We start from the raw sequence: 12,253 nt of genomic DNA, 5'->3' as shown, positions 1-12,253 counted from the left end.
GACTGAGTCTGCCCTGCCCACTCCCCCTTTTCCTCTGGCTGCAGATCTGAGGCAGAGCATTCAAAGGCTCTGCTGGGAACCGGAAGGACGGATGTGATGCATTGAGACCCACCCTGCTCTGGAGCCAGAGGCTGCTCCCTGCCTGTTCCCCAGCCCAGGGCCAGGCAGGCTGTGAACGAGCTCAAGCCTGGAAGGTGCTTCTGTAGACCTTGGTCTTCCTGTACCCCCAGGAAGGCAGAGTGGTCACCTCAGAAGCCCAACACCAGTGACTGGAGGTGGCAGTATCAAGAAGGCAGTATAAACCGCCAGGGGGTGGAATGACAGCAGCTCAGGTGGCTCCTCCAGACCTGGCTCTGGAACGATGCTGGGGTCTCCCCTCCATGCTCTTCCCACGTGGGTCTTCCAGGAAGGTGCCGGGGATGTGGAAGGTCAGATTCGGGTGTCATGCTACCAGGGAGCTACAAATTCTTAGGCAAGCCACTTAGCTTTCAGCTTTCCTGAGCCTGTTTCCTCAACTAGAGATGGTAAGAATGAAATCTCTCACAGGGCCCAGTGCAGTATGGGCTCCAGCTCAAAACTGGAGGCCCCCAGCCTGGGTGACAGGGACCCTTGTCCTGCGGCCACACCTGGGTGCCACCCTCCCCGGTGGGGCTGCACTCACCGTCGATGATCTCCTCCTTCACCTTGTGGAGCTCTCTCACCACCTCCTCTAGGATCTCCTGTTGGGAGAGGAGTGTCCAGGTGAAGGGACAGGCAGTGGAGACGGAAAAGCCGGCCTGGGCTGGGCCATGTCCAAAGGGCTTGGGGTCTCCTGGGCCTCTCCAGAGTTGCATCTGTCACCCTTGTCTCCTCGTGGCCCCCTTCCCACGCTGAGGGGGGACGGCATGGGAGGCCTGGGAAAATCCTGCTGCCACCTCCCTCAGGTAGACGCCACTGAAACTAAGGGCTTCCTCGGGGCAGAAAGCCCCAGAGGCAGGCCTGAGGGAGGTGCCCAGAAAGGTTGAGGGACATCCTAGTTCTGGTGATGGCAGGGGCTGGGGACAAAGGACAGGCTTGGGCACCCCCTTTCTGCCGTGGCTGCTCCCTGACTGGCCTTTTGGCAGCTACATGTGGGCCCCCAGGGCCTGCCTGGCCATGCTGGTCAGAGACGGTCCCCCGCCTGCTGGCTGCCCTCAGCCTCTTGAGGGAAGGGCACAGGGCATGCTCACCTGCTTCATCCGGTCCAAGTCGAAGGCATCCAGGGCCATGTCATTCACGCTCCCAGCAGGCTTCATCCTGGGAGAGAAAGGGCCTGTGGGTGCCCTGGCTGGAGACAGGTGTGGGGGAAAGCTGGCTGTGCAGAGGCCCCGCTCAGGCTGGGCCCACCTGCTCCCCTCGCTCCATAGAGGCTGCTTGCTTCAGACTCTGGCCACCTCAGACTGCCTGAGAAGGATTTAACGCCCGTCTCCACCTCAAGAGGTCTCCATGGATACCGTGACTGTATTTCCCAACCCGAGAGCCAAGGCTGGCTGGGGTCAACAAAGAAACTGCTTTCTGATCAGAGAGCTCTTATGCAGAGGTGGCAACTTAAGTGACAACATCGCACCCACCCGTTGCCTCCCTGGAAAGAAACACAGTATTGACAGCCTCCTCCTCAGGGTGGGAGCTCATGCTCCAGGTTGAGCTTGGGGCTCGGGGAAGCAGCAGCGGCGGCAGGAGGCACAATGTGAAGTTGCAGAGTTCACACCGGCCTGGAGGCGCGCTCCTGACACACCAGCGCCCCTGGTGCTGGAGCCTGCTCGGGCATAGCACACCTCCCCCAAGAAACATCCTCCCATGTGGTGTCGCTTTTTTTTTTTCAGACAGAGTTTTGCTCTTGTTCCCCAGATTGGAGTGCAATGGCGCAATCTTGGCTCACTGCAACCTCTGCCTCCCAGGTTCAAGCAATTCTCCTACCTCAGCCTCCCCAGTAGCTGGCATTACAGGCATGTGCCACTTTTGTATTTTCAGCTAACTTTTGTATTTTCAGCAGAGATGGGGTTTCACCATGTTGGCCAAGCTGGTCTTGAACTCCTGACCTCACGAGATCCACCCACCTGGGCCTCCCAGAGTGCTGGGATTATGGGCGTGAGCCCCTGCACCTGGCTGGTTTTGCTCTTTCAAGGTAGTTCTCGTGGACTACTTCTTTGAAAAGTTTCCAAACTAAGGTAACCGATTTGAATTTTATTTTTACTTATTTGAGACAGGGTCTCACTCTGTCAACCAGGCTGGAGTACAGAGGCGTATCATGCCTCACTGCAGCCTCAACCTCCCAGGCTCAAGTGAGCCTCCCGAGTAGCTGGGACTACAGACATGTGCCCTTTTTTTTTTCTTTTTTAACTTTTTGTAGAGATGGGGTCTCACTGTGTTGCCCAGACTGGTCTCCAAGTCCTGGGCTCAAGTGATCCTCCCGCCTCGGCCTCCCAAAGTGCTGGGATGACAGGCATGAGCACCGCGCTGGCCTGATTTGAATGTTAATGTGTCACACATGCATCTTCCCTGGAAGATCTTGGCAAAATGCTTGTCTCTCTGGTCTTTTAAACATGACTTGGTGCTGAAAGACACACTGCTGGGACCCAAGTTCCCTCCCACATGGACGGGATGGAGGCTGGAGCCCAAGGTTTCAGGGAAACGTATGTGGCCTGTGCCCCTGGGTGTGATCATGGGCACACACATTTATCTGGCAGGGCCAGCCTTGGCTGCTGAGGGGTCATGGGCACAGAGGAGGACCATCTGGTGACACTGAGGACCAGTGTTGCCCACAGCCAGGGAGAATAAGGATGAAGAATGAGTGTTGCCACACCCCTCCAGATGAGCTCAAGAAAGAGGCCAAGCCTAGCCCTAAACAGGTCTGTAAGTAATTCTGGGTCCTGATAGGCAAACGCATCCAGCCAGAGGGCCCTGGGTCCTTCAGGCCTCTCCTGTGGGTTCCAGACCCTGTTCCAGCAACAATTGCTGGGACACCTGGGCCGACTGCTCCACCTCGCCAGGCCCTGGCCCTCTCCATCTCAGCCCTGACAGCCACCCAGTGATAAACACAGCAGGCTTCCTAAGCAATGTGACGCACCAGAGGGGTGGTGGTACACGTTCCCCTTGAAGTCATCTGAAAATTAGAGAACAGATTTGCCTCAGAGCTGAAGAGAGACCCTATTCCAAGCATGAATGGCCTTGACAATGTTCCTGCCCAGTGAGCGACCCTTGGCCACTCACAACATGGCAGCCCGCCTTTGCTCCACCAGCAGGACGTGGCGGAGTCCGCTGGGAGCGCTGCAGGCTCCCCTTGCTGCCGTGTCTGCTCCAGGGCCCTCGTTTTGCCCACTCTGGTTGCCTTCCCCTTCCCAGCCTCCACCATGGCACCCTGTGCCTCAAGTTCCATGACTGGGCCCTGCGCATGAACACAATGCAAACTTCTAACTCCGCGCTCCCCCACACCCTCTTCCTCACCCTTCCCGTTCCCCTGCCCCATGGCCTGTCTGCTTCCAGGTGGAGGTGCGGGGGAGCTTGGCGGGTGGCTGCAGGCTCAGGGCCCTGGCACTTACCCTTCCTTCAGCTTGGGAGGCTGTCCCCATGATCTCCGCAGAGCAGACTCCTCCTCGTCCGGGTCAACGAAAATGCCAGCTCCCGACAGAGGCTTGCCCCACCCCACTCCGCAAAGCACCCTGTCCCTTCCACCATGTGGCCCTGCACCCTGTCCAGAGCACCCCTCAGGACCACAGTGGCCTTGTTCACACGGTGCTCTTTGCAGGCAGGGACTGTCCCCAGCACACGGCCTGGCTGACCACAAGCCTTGGACAAACCCCAGCTGACTGCTAAGACTTCCTCATCTCTGTCCACCTGCACTGCTCTGCTCTCACCACCTGTTCAGCTCTGCAAGGCCAGTTTCAATGCCTCCTGCTCTGTGATAAGGGTGGTTTCCCTTCAATTTGTGGTGGCGATGGAGACATTCTTGACGCAGGTTCTAGAGGCCTTCCAATTCAGGCCACATGTACCTCCAGATACTATGTGGCTGGCTGCCTCTGCCTTTTTGGGCAATCTCAGTTCCAAATATTCTATCATGTTGTCATGCCAGCTTTTGGCTTGGGAAATATGGTCAGTATGTCTGTGGGGAAACTGATTCTGTGTGCCGGCCGCAGAGGAAGGACTCTGGGCTGGAGGAAAGGGGTAGGGCTCAGCGCCAGTGCTAGGACTGGTTGAACTGTAGGGTGCAGCCCTGGCTAGTGACCACACCCCATGTCCAGCTGTTGCTCACAGCTGTCCCCACCACCACCCTGTGCAGCAGGGGTTAACAGACCTCACTTTGTGGGGGGAAAACAGAGGCTTGGAGAGGTCCCCTAACTTGCCCACTGTCACACGTAGTGAGTCCAGAGCTGGGACTCCATGTTGGCCCCCCCCTGCACTACCTCTGTGGACAGGTCACTGCCCTCCTTGCCCTTGGTCTCTCTCTCAGAGGGAAAAGACGGAGCAGCTGACTGACAGGACCCCGAGGTCCTGGGTCTGAAAGAACAGACCACCTTCGCAGAGCAAGTTGTTAAATGCCAGGACGTGAGACAGCGTGCAAGGGTGTTAGTCACGGGACGGGGGACAGAGGAGCCCCAAACCCTGGGGGACATGTGAGCAGGAGGGTTGTTCGGTACCTAGAGTGAGGCTGCGACTGAAGGGGGCTCTTAGCTTCGGGGCTCTTTGCCACAGACGGGGTTCTACGGCAATGGAATGAAACAGACATGTGAATCGGCGCCAGCGCCCGCCTCTGCCCCACCAGCCTCGCTGCTCAGGCCTTCCTGGGGCAGCTCACCTGGACAGAATCGAGGACACAGGCTTCTCCACCGAGTTGCTCCGCTCCCAGGGCTTCCGGCCAGCCTCTGTCAGTTCATTTCATGGATGAAGAACCTCACAGGTGAAGGGACTCAGTAGCCACCCCAATCCCCTAAACACCCCAACAGGAAGCCCTCACCCATGCCAAGGGTGCAGAGCCCCGTGGCAGGAAGGTCTGATTGAGTTAAGCCAAAACCTGGCACCTTGTTCTCAGTCCCCCATGGCCTAGGTCAGGTTGACCCTGACCTGTGATCTGGTTCTGAGCCCTTCACTGTGCCAGGTCTCTCTGGAATGTGAGCCTGCTGGTAAGGGACCCAGTGACTAGAGCCACAGGGCGAGCAAGCACGACCTCCCCGGACATCCCAGCACAGCCTTGCTCCCACGTGTGGTGTGGCGGCCAGGCCCCTCGGCCCGGCACCTGCTACTGAGGGGCTCCTTAGTCTGCCTCCCATGCTGCGCCTGGCTCTGTCCCATTCTGGCTGGCTTGTCTTTTTTAAGTGGTATTGGATTATATTTTGTTCTACTCCAAAAGATTTGTTGCATTAACTTGAATTCGTTGACTGTGCAGGACAAGCAGAGGCAGAAGACAAAATCTCTAGGGGGTAGTGGGGCAGCTGCCTGGCCCAGAGCTAAGCCTTGGCACCCTGCGGACCAACGGTGGGATTGAGGCAGTTTTCCTCAAAGCCACCTTCTGGGACAGGCGCTGGGCCTGCAGGCACTAGACCTGGGGCTACAGACATGTCCCAGGTGTGTGGCCTTGAGCAAACCACTTTGCACACAGATGGGAACCACGTAGCCCACTCACTGGGCTGTTGGAAGAAGCAAACAGGGCAGGGGTATTGATCACGTTCATCAGCCAGGAACCTATGCATCCTGGCAAATCAAGACACCAGGCAAAAATCTTAGGAGGAGAGGACATGGCGTGCAGTTTCACAGGGAGGCGACACCCAACCTGAGCATGCCCCAGAGACACACGCGAACAGCTGGCAAGAGCCTCCTCTGCCCAGCTAGGGCAGCCTGATGCCCCTGTCTCTCCTCGCTGTGCTCATGAGCACAGGCCTGGCACAGAGCAGGTGCTGCAAAGATGTTTGTCGAATGAACAACCAACCCTGGGGTCTTCCTCCCCTGCGAAGCCTCATCATACTCTCCTAACTACCTCCCATCTGCCACAGCTTAGACAGAGAGAAACCTGAGCCAGGGAAGGGGCTGCGTTTTGGGTGGAGCGAGATCTACTGCCATCTCTGTAATGTCGGTCATCAGCTGGCGTTTCACTGGGAGACATGAGTCCTGACACTGATACCTCTTAAGAGCACTGGCCCCAGCCTGCCTCAGGAGCCCTGGACACAAACTCCCACCCTGAATATGTGCCGTCAGGCAAGTGCCTTCTCTCGTGCGGGACTCAGGGTCCTGGTGGGAAGGTGACACGCAGGTCACCCTGGGGACCCATCACAGTGGCTCTGCTCTAGCACTTCCTGTGCTCCCACATGGGCTCCTGGGGGAGGCTCTGGGGGACCCATAAGAAATGGGCTTCCCTGTGGCCTGGCCCTCTGCTCAGGCATACTAAAGAGGCTGGATCAGAGGGTCCTGTCCGAAGGGTCCCCCCTCCCACTCTGAGACCTCATGCCTCACTGGGGTCAGCGGGGGGCGCCCTCTCACCTGAGGAGTTAGGTGGCTGGCTGGCTGCTCGGGTCCCCGGAGAGGGGGAGGTACTAGGATCTTCCTAAAATGGAGAAGAAGGGAGTCTGTTTAGGAAGGCCACCTGGGGCCAGGGCAGGACATCATTGGACACTTCATAAAACCTCAGTTTTCCAAATGTTCCCAATGAACACATATGACTTTTATAATTAGCAAAACATTAAATATTTAAAAGTGAAAACGCAAAATCTCAGTGGGGAGAGAATCGAGCCAGTGGACAAAGCTGGGGAAGGGGAAGGCTACAGGGAGCTACAGGCTCTCAGCAGGGTGATATAGAACTTCCTTCTGGCCCTCAACACCCGCAAGCCCTGAGCCCCCCTTGGGCCGGATGCCTCCCGTATGTCATCTCACTGACTTCTCATGAGCACCCCGTGGACTGGCCTGCTCCCCCTGTGCAGCACACACACCTGCCCGTGTAATAGGTCTGTGGCAGTGCTCGAACAGTGGACGTGTTCATCCAGCAGTGGGGACACCTAACACTCATCATGCATGGCATGTGCGTCAGGATGGTTTTTCAGCATCAGGAACATGCCACTGATTAAGTAATAAGAGTAATCCTTCCACTTGATGAAGCAGAATGCACAGCATTTGAGCTGTTGACAGGCGGCCACCCAACCTGATGTGTCATTCTGATCTGAAGCAAAGAACCTCTCCCTTGTCACCGTGGGCAGAGGTCTTTGCTTTGTCTCCTCTGCTCACTACATCCCCACACGAGAATCAGGAACGCCCTGCGTATCTGTGTGGTGAACGAGTAAGTCCCGGGAGGCTCTGGTCGAGAGGCAAAAGCAGGTGCCAGCCTGCAGGTGCTGGGATGAGGTTCTCAGGCCTCCTCATTTTAAAGACAGCTGAATAACAGATTATGTCAATCAACACACACATGTGGGGGCCACGATGAAAGCGATACAGGGTGACATCAGAGTCACTAAAAAATTATCATCTTTTCTTGTATGTTATTTTTTTAAAACCCTCCCTGCTTAAAAGGGAAGTTATGCTTTGACTCTAGGCTGGGAAAGAGGTGGCCGCAGCACTCCCAGGCCCTGGGCACAGAGACTTGCACCCCACCTCTGGCAGTCGCACAGTCTGTGAGGCGGCCATGCCTGGGTGCAGGTTTTCAGGTGGTGGAACTGGTCCTCGGAGCAGTAACTCCATTGGCCCAGGGCCAGCTCTGCCATGGCAGAGGGCCTGCCCAAGTCACCGGACTCCACATTTGGGGCTCTTTTCGTCTTTCAAATAAGCCTTCTTTCTTCTCTGTTAATGATAAACTTAGTGCATGTTCACTGCAGAGAATTGGGGAAATACCAGGAAGCATGAACAAGAAAACGAGTGCCGGCCATCAGCCTCTCTCCCTCCCACTGCACTTGTGTGGTGTGTGGATCTTCTGAAGGCCCTGCTCTCTTTAGACGCTAGTCCTGGGTATGAGAAGGGACCATGGCAAACAAGAACCAGCTGTAGCCAGGGGCCTGTGAAAAACAAGACAGAAAAGATGGGGGTCTGAGGAGGAGAGTGCTATCCTTGGGGTTGAAGGTTTCAAGAATGTTCCTCTTCCAGAAGCCCCTGGGCTTTGAAATCCATTCTTCTTAGAGCTCCAGGAGCGAGAGTTTTAGTTTTCAGGGGCTGGGACTGCAACATACTGGCACCTGACTAAGAAAGGCCAGCGATGTCTTCAGATCCCCAGGGCTGTGGCTGGAGCGAGGCCACAGTATTTTGATGTCTGTGATTATCCCGTGGCCTGCAATTTCAGAAATTCATGGCAAGTCAGTTGGCTAAACTCCACAGCATGTGCAAGGTATGGGAATGGTGGACGTGTGAGAAGCCCAGGCCTCGCCCTCCAAGGGCCTAAGATCTGGCAGGAGACAACGAGTCTCCACAAGCAGTCGTGCCTGTGCAGAGGGCCTCGGGAGAAGACCGGGGCTGGGATCAAGTAGTGAGGAGCTTTGTGAGGCCTGGGGGTCGGGAGGCTGTTTTTTTGTTGTTGTTGTTTGTTTTGTTTTTGAGACGGAGTCTCGTTCTTGTTGCCCAGGCTGGAGTGCAATGGTGCGATCTCTGCTCACTACAACCTCCGCCTCCCAGGTTCAAGCAATTCTCCTGCCTCAGCCTCCCGAGTAGCTGGGATTACAGGCATGCGCCACCATGCCCCGCTAATTTTGTATTTTTAGTAGAGATGACGTTTCACTATGTTGGCCAGGCTGGTCTCAAACTCCTGACCTCAGGTGATCCGTCTGCCTCGGCCTCCCAAAGTGCTGGGACTACAAGTGTGAAGTGTTGAGCCGGCCGGGAGGCTGTTTTTTAAGGTGTAAGGGTGATGCAGGGAAGTGCAGGCTGAATGGGAGTTGGCTGGTGGGGCAAAGGGACCCATATGTGCCCAGGACGGGGCTGAGAGGCGTGGATCAGCTGGGAGGGCTATAGCCTCAGGGTAACACCAGCATGACCCTGACTGATGGGAGGACAGGGCAGGAAGCCTGCTCTGGTCCCTGGCAGTTTTATTTCCTCTCTGATTCTGCACTGAGGTGGAACCTTCAAGGCATTTGTAGTTAAGGCTAAACTTAGCCCTGTCAGTAGGAGTCTTTTTATAGGAAAAGCTTAACATGGAGGAAAAGAGAATTAGCCGCCCTAACTGGAAGCAGATGTTGGGAGCTCTGGCAGCCAGGCTGGCTCTGGGCTGCCTGGTAAGGACAAGAGCCAGGGGTCCAGGGCTCCTTTGCCACAGCTCACCTGAAGCTCCTGCTGGAAGAGGAGTCTTTAGAAACAGAAATAATTTGAAAATAAAAACCTCTCTGGGCTTCTGGCAGACGTGCCCCTCTGCAGTGTACTCCTGGAGTCCCAGTCCCGCCGAGACCCTGGCTGGTCTGTGCTCCCCGGGGCTCCTGGGAAGGCGAGGTAGCCCTGCGGTGCAGCGGCCAGCGCCTCAGGCTGCAGCTCCAAGGGTGGAGCAGTGTCTGGTAGGGGGTGCTCAGTGAGGGCAGGCCTGCTGCTGGGGCCAGGGTGGCGCAGGGACAAGCACCGCAGAGACCCTCCGCCCCTCCTGTGAATCACCTGATGAAGCGCCCATCCCACGCATGTCCCAAAGGCCTCGCCTGAGACCAGAGAGCCTCCCTGGCGATGCGCTCATCTCAGTGGGGAGCCTGAGGGTGGGGCGGGCTGCTTGCTCACCATTTGGCTTTCATCTTCCTTCTTCTCGGCTGGCTTGTCTGACTGGGAGGCTGCTTTTCTCCTAGGCACAGAGAAGGGGAAGATACAGATCAGCTCCTCACGTTCTCTCACTGTCCCAGAACTCTTCTGCCTCCACCCTGCCAGACTCACCCCGGTCCTCAGATAAACCTGTGTGGGAAAACGATGGCGTGAAGGAGGCGGCTTGTCTAGGCCCCGTCTGGTGAGGAGCCAGGCCCAGGCAAATGTCCAGGCCCTCCGTGTGGTCATGGCCTGGGACACAAAACTGGTCTAGGCAGAGAGGGCGAGATGCCTCTATGTCTGTTTAGCTCTACTGGCAGCAGCTGTAGCATCTGAGGCGTGGAGGGGAGGCGGGCACGCTCTGTCCCCAGGACACTGAAGGCCTGGCCACACGGGACAGAGAGGCATCTCTCTGGGCTGCAGTCTGTCCCACAGGTCGGGACACTGGACACTTTCTTGTGTCACTCTAAGGCCCTTGTGTCTTGGAACTCAGTTAACCCAGCCACGCCCTCCCCAATCTAGAATGCCACTCAGAGCCTGGAAATGCTCAGAAGAGGAGCCCTGGAATAGGTCCACGTGACGCCCTTGAGTCGGTTCGTGCACCTCCCCAGTATGAATCCCCGTTTCATGTACTCTAAAACCTCACCCATATTTTTTGGCCTCAGTGGTATCTGCTGACCTCCCAGGTCTACAGAGGCAGGCAGACCCTCAGTGTTTCCCAGAGATACGCTTCTGTGGCTTTTCAACTTGAGATGAGCTGCCCATCAAGCATGGAGCTGGTCTGAGGTGTGATAATGGGCCGTGGCCAGGCTGTCACCTGTCTGTGATGGGCCTACCTGGCAGCCTCCTCAGCTACAGCAGGGGCCCCCTTCTTTAGCTCCCATCTCAGGACAGGTCTGCCCACCTCGTCCCTCAGCCCAGAAACCAGGGAATCATCCCTGACACCAGCTTCTTATAACTGTCAGCCTGGTCAGTTCTCTAAATCTGGGTACCTGCCTGTCTTTTTTGTCTTCACCTTCAACACCTTCCTGCATGCCCCTATCATCTCTTCCTGGACTGTCAGAGTCTCCTAACTGGCCTAGCCACGATCACTTACACCTCACCAGCTACCCCCCAGCAGCCAGTGTCCCATCTCCTAGAAACAGAACGCTGACCAAGCCACCTGCTCACGGGGAGTGTAGGCGGGATGAGTGTCTGTGAAAGTGCTGCTGAACAGGAGCTTTCTGTCCACGTTCATTTCCCTCCTGCCCTCCACTGTTGGGAGACTCAACTGCATGCCCTCAGAGGCGGGAGACAACCTACATGAAAAGAAACCTGGCAAGGGCACTTTCATCGTCGGCTCCACCCAGTAGCCATCACTGAGGTGGATTTCAGAGAGCACCTGATTGATCCCTGCTGAGCTATGCAAAGCATGTTTGTTCTTGGGAGGGCCTTGACTCTCCCACCGGCATCTGGCATCTCACTGGCTCCTGGCAATACTGGCCTTTTCCTGTTCTCAGACAGAAAGGTGCTTCCCCTCAGCTTGGTCTAGGACTTAGGGAAAGCATTCATATTTTCTTTTCCAAAACTATTTCTATTTCTCTGTGGCCCATCCTCGCCTCTGAGTGCTCTGAGGTGGAACCCGATGCCCTGCACCAGGAGGCTCCCTCTTCCAGCCTGACTTTTGGTCCATTTCCTCCACACCTAGCTCTCCAGGCACAGGGGGCGTCAGCCTTCCCAGCCTTACCTTAACTCTGCCCACTGTCCCTCTTACAGCACGGGACGTCCTCATCGTTCTGCGAGCCCTCCCGGCTCTCTCACCCACGGAGCCATTCGCCTTTGTGTGGCCACTGTAAGCCCCACACACCTGGACTTACTCTCACAGGAAACTGCTCAGAAGCCTGCCTCCTGTCTTGGCGATGTACAAACGCCCAGGCCCAGTAGAGGCTCCGGAGACGCCCGTGCTGCGGATCCACCTTGCTGCTCCCTGACACACGGGGAGCCTCCCCTCCCTGCCATCTGTGATGCAAGCAAAGAGCCCCTTGGCAGGAAACCCAGGCTGTGGCCCTGCCATGAAGCGCCACACCAGCTGCCTGCAGCTGTGGGCCTCTGTCATCTCGCATCATCCTCATGGAGCCACGGGAAGGTAATGAGAGGAACTAGGACTGCAGTGTGAAGACCCTGGGCACACAGAGTTCTCACTTGGGTCAGCCAATTGGAAGGCAGCTGGGAGGGCCAGGAGAAGGCGACAAAGTGGCAGGGGGTGGAGGTGGGGTTACCAAGGGAGCAGGGCCCCCGCTGCAGCTTCCTCTGTTCTGGCAGGTGAGGCCTACTCCCGTGCCCTCTGGTGCCTAAGTGAGCCACGATATTGGTAGTCCAAGGTGAGCACATTCCTGATGCCAAGTCATATTTAAAAATAAAATCCAAGCTTTGCATCCCTTTTGAGAAAGACCTGGACGATCTCCCCATCTGCTCGGGTTTCATTTGGGGAACAGCGGAGAGCCACAATGGCAGGCTGCAGCCACACCCGCTGCAGCGAGCAGACACACATGGCCAGGTCTCAGGCCCAAGAGCCCGGCCG

The 12,253-nt window shown here is 56.6% G+C and overlaps 1 protein-coding gene and 1 long non-coding RNA gene across 12 annotated transcripts in view, besides 3 other annotated features; one reads left to right on the top strand and one right to left on the bottom strand.

Annotated features, from left to right (window-relative positions):
• The window catches only part of EVL (Enah/Vasp-like), a 172,815-nt gene that overhangs the window by 1,782 nt on the left and 158,780 nt on the right, over nucleotides 1–12,253 (bottom strand). For 5 of the 11 annotated variants that reach the window (NM_001330221.2, XM_005267749.4, XM_047431460.1 and 2 more), the window contains 6 exons: nucleotides 9,676–9,736; nucleotides 6,487–6,550; nucleotides 4,811–4,877; nucleotides 4,653–4,715; nucleotides 1,209–1,275; nucleotides 662–719 (listed from right to left, as the gene is read on the bottom strand). In NM_001330221.2, the coding sequence (NP_001317150.1) occupies nucleotides 662–719; nucleotides 1,209–1,275; nucleotides 4,653–4,715; nucleotides 4,811–4,877; nucleotides 6,487–6,550; nucleotides 9,676–9,736 (380 nt within the window). The other 6 variants (XM_047431464.1, XM_047431462.1, XM_047431463.1 and 3 more) reach the window with 4 other exon arrangements.
• Nucleotides 2,691–3,395: an enhancer, noted in NCBI's record as "H3K27ac-H3K4me1 hESC enhancer chr14:100605397-100606101 (GRCh37/hg19 assembly coordinates)". NCBI's record gives its function as "activates a minimal SCP1, AML or CMV promoter by ChIP-STARR-seq in naive H9 embryonic stem cells {active_cell/tissue: H9 hESC(naive)}" and the evidence as "EXISTENCE:reporter gene assay evidence [ECO:0000049][PMID:30033119]".
• Nucleotides 3,396–4,101: an enhancer, noted in NCBI's record as "H3K27ac-H3K4me1 hESC enhancer chr14:100604691-100605396 (GRCh37/hg19 assembly coordinates)". NCBI's record gives its function as "activates a minimal SCP1, AML or CMV promoter by ChIP-STARR-seq in naive H9 embryonic stem cells {active_cell/tissue: H9 hESC(naive)}" and the evidence as "EXISTENCE:reporter gene assay evidence [ECO:0000049][PMID:30033119]".
• Nucleotides 3,918–4,067: an enhancer, noted in NCBI's record as "active region_9023". NCBI's record gives its function as "activates an Ori minimal core promoter by ATAC-STARR-seq in GM12878 lymphoblastoid cells {active_cell/tissue: GM12878}" and the evidence as "EXISTENCE:reporter gene assay evidence [ECO:0000049][PMID:35858748]".
• On the top strand, nucleotides 9,687–12,123 carry LOC124903381 (uncharacterized). Its single transcript, XR_007064331.1, has 2 exons — nucleotides 9,687–11,818; nucleotides 11,995–12,123. It is a non-coding gene; the product is annotated as an uncharacterized LOC124903381 (long non-coding RNA).

Source organism: Homo sapiens, chromosome 14 (assembly GCF_000001405.40).
Source record: "Homo sapiens chromosome 14, GRCh38.p14 Primary Assembly".
NCBI classification, from domain to species: Eukaryota; Metazoa; Chordata; class Mammalia; order Primates; family Hominidae; genus Homo; species Homo sapiens.
Note: the sequence above shows the minus strand (reverse complement) of the source record. Positions and strands in the feature narration are given on the sequence as shown.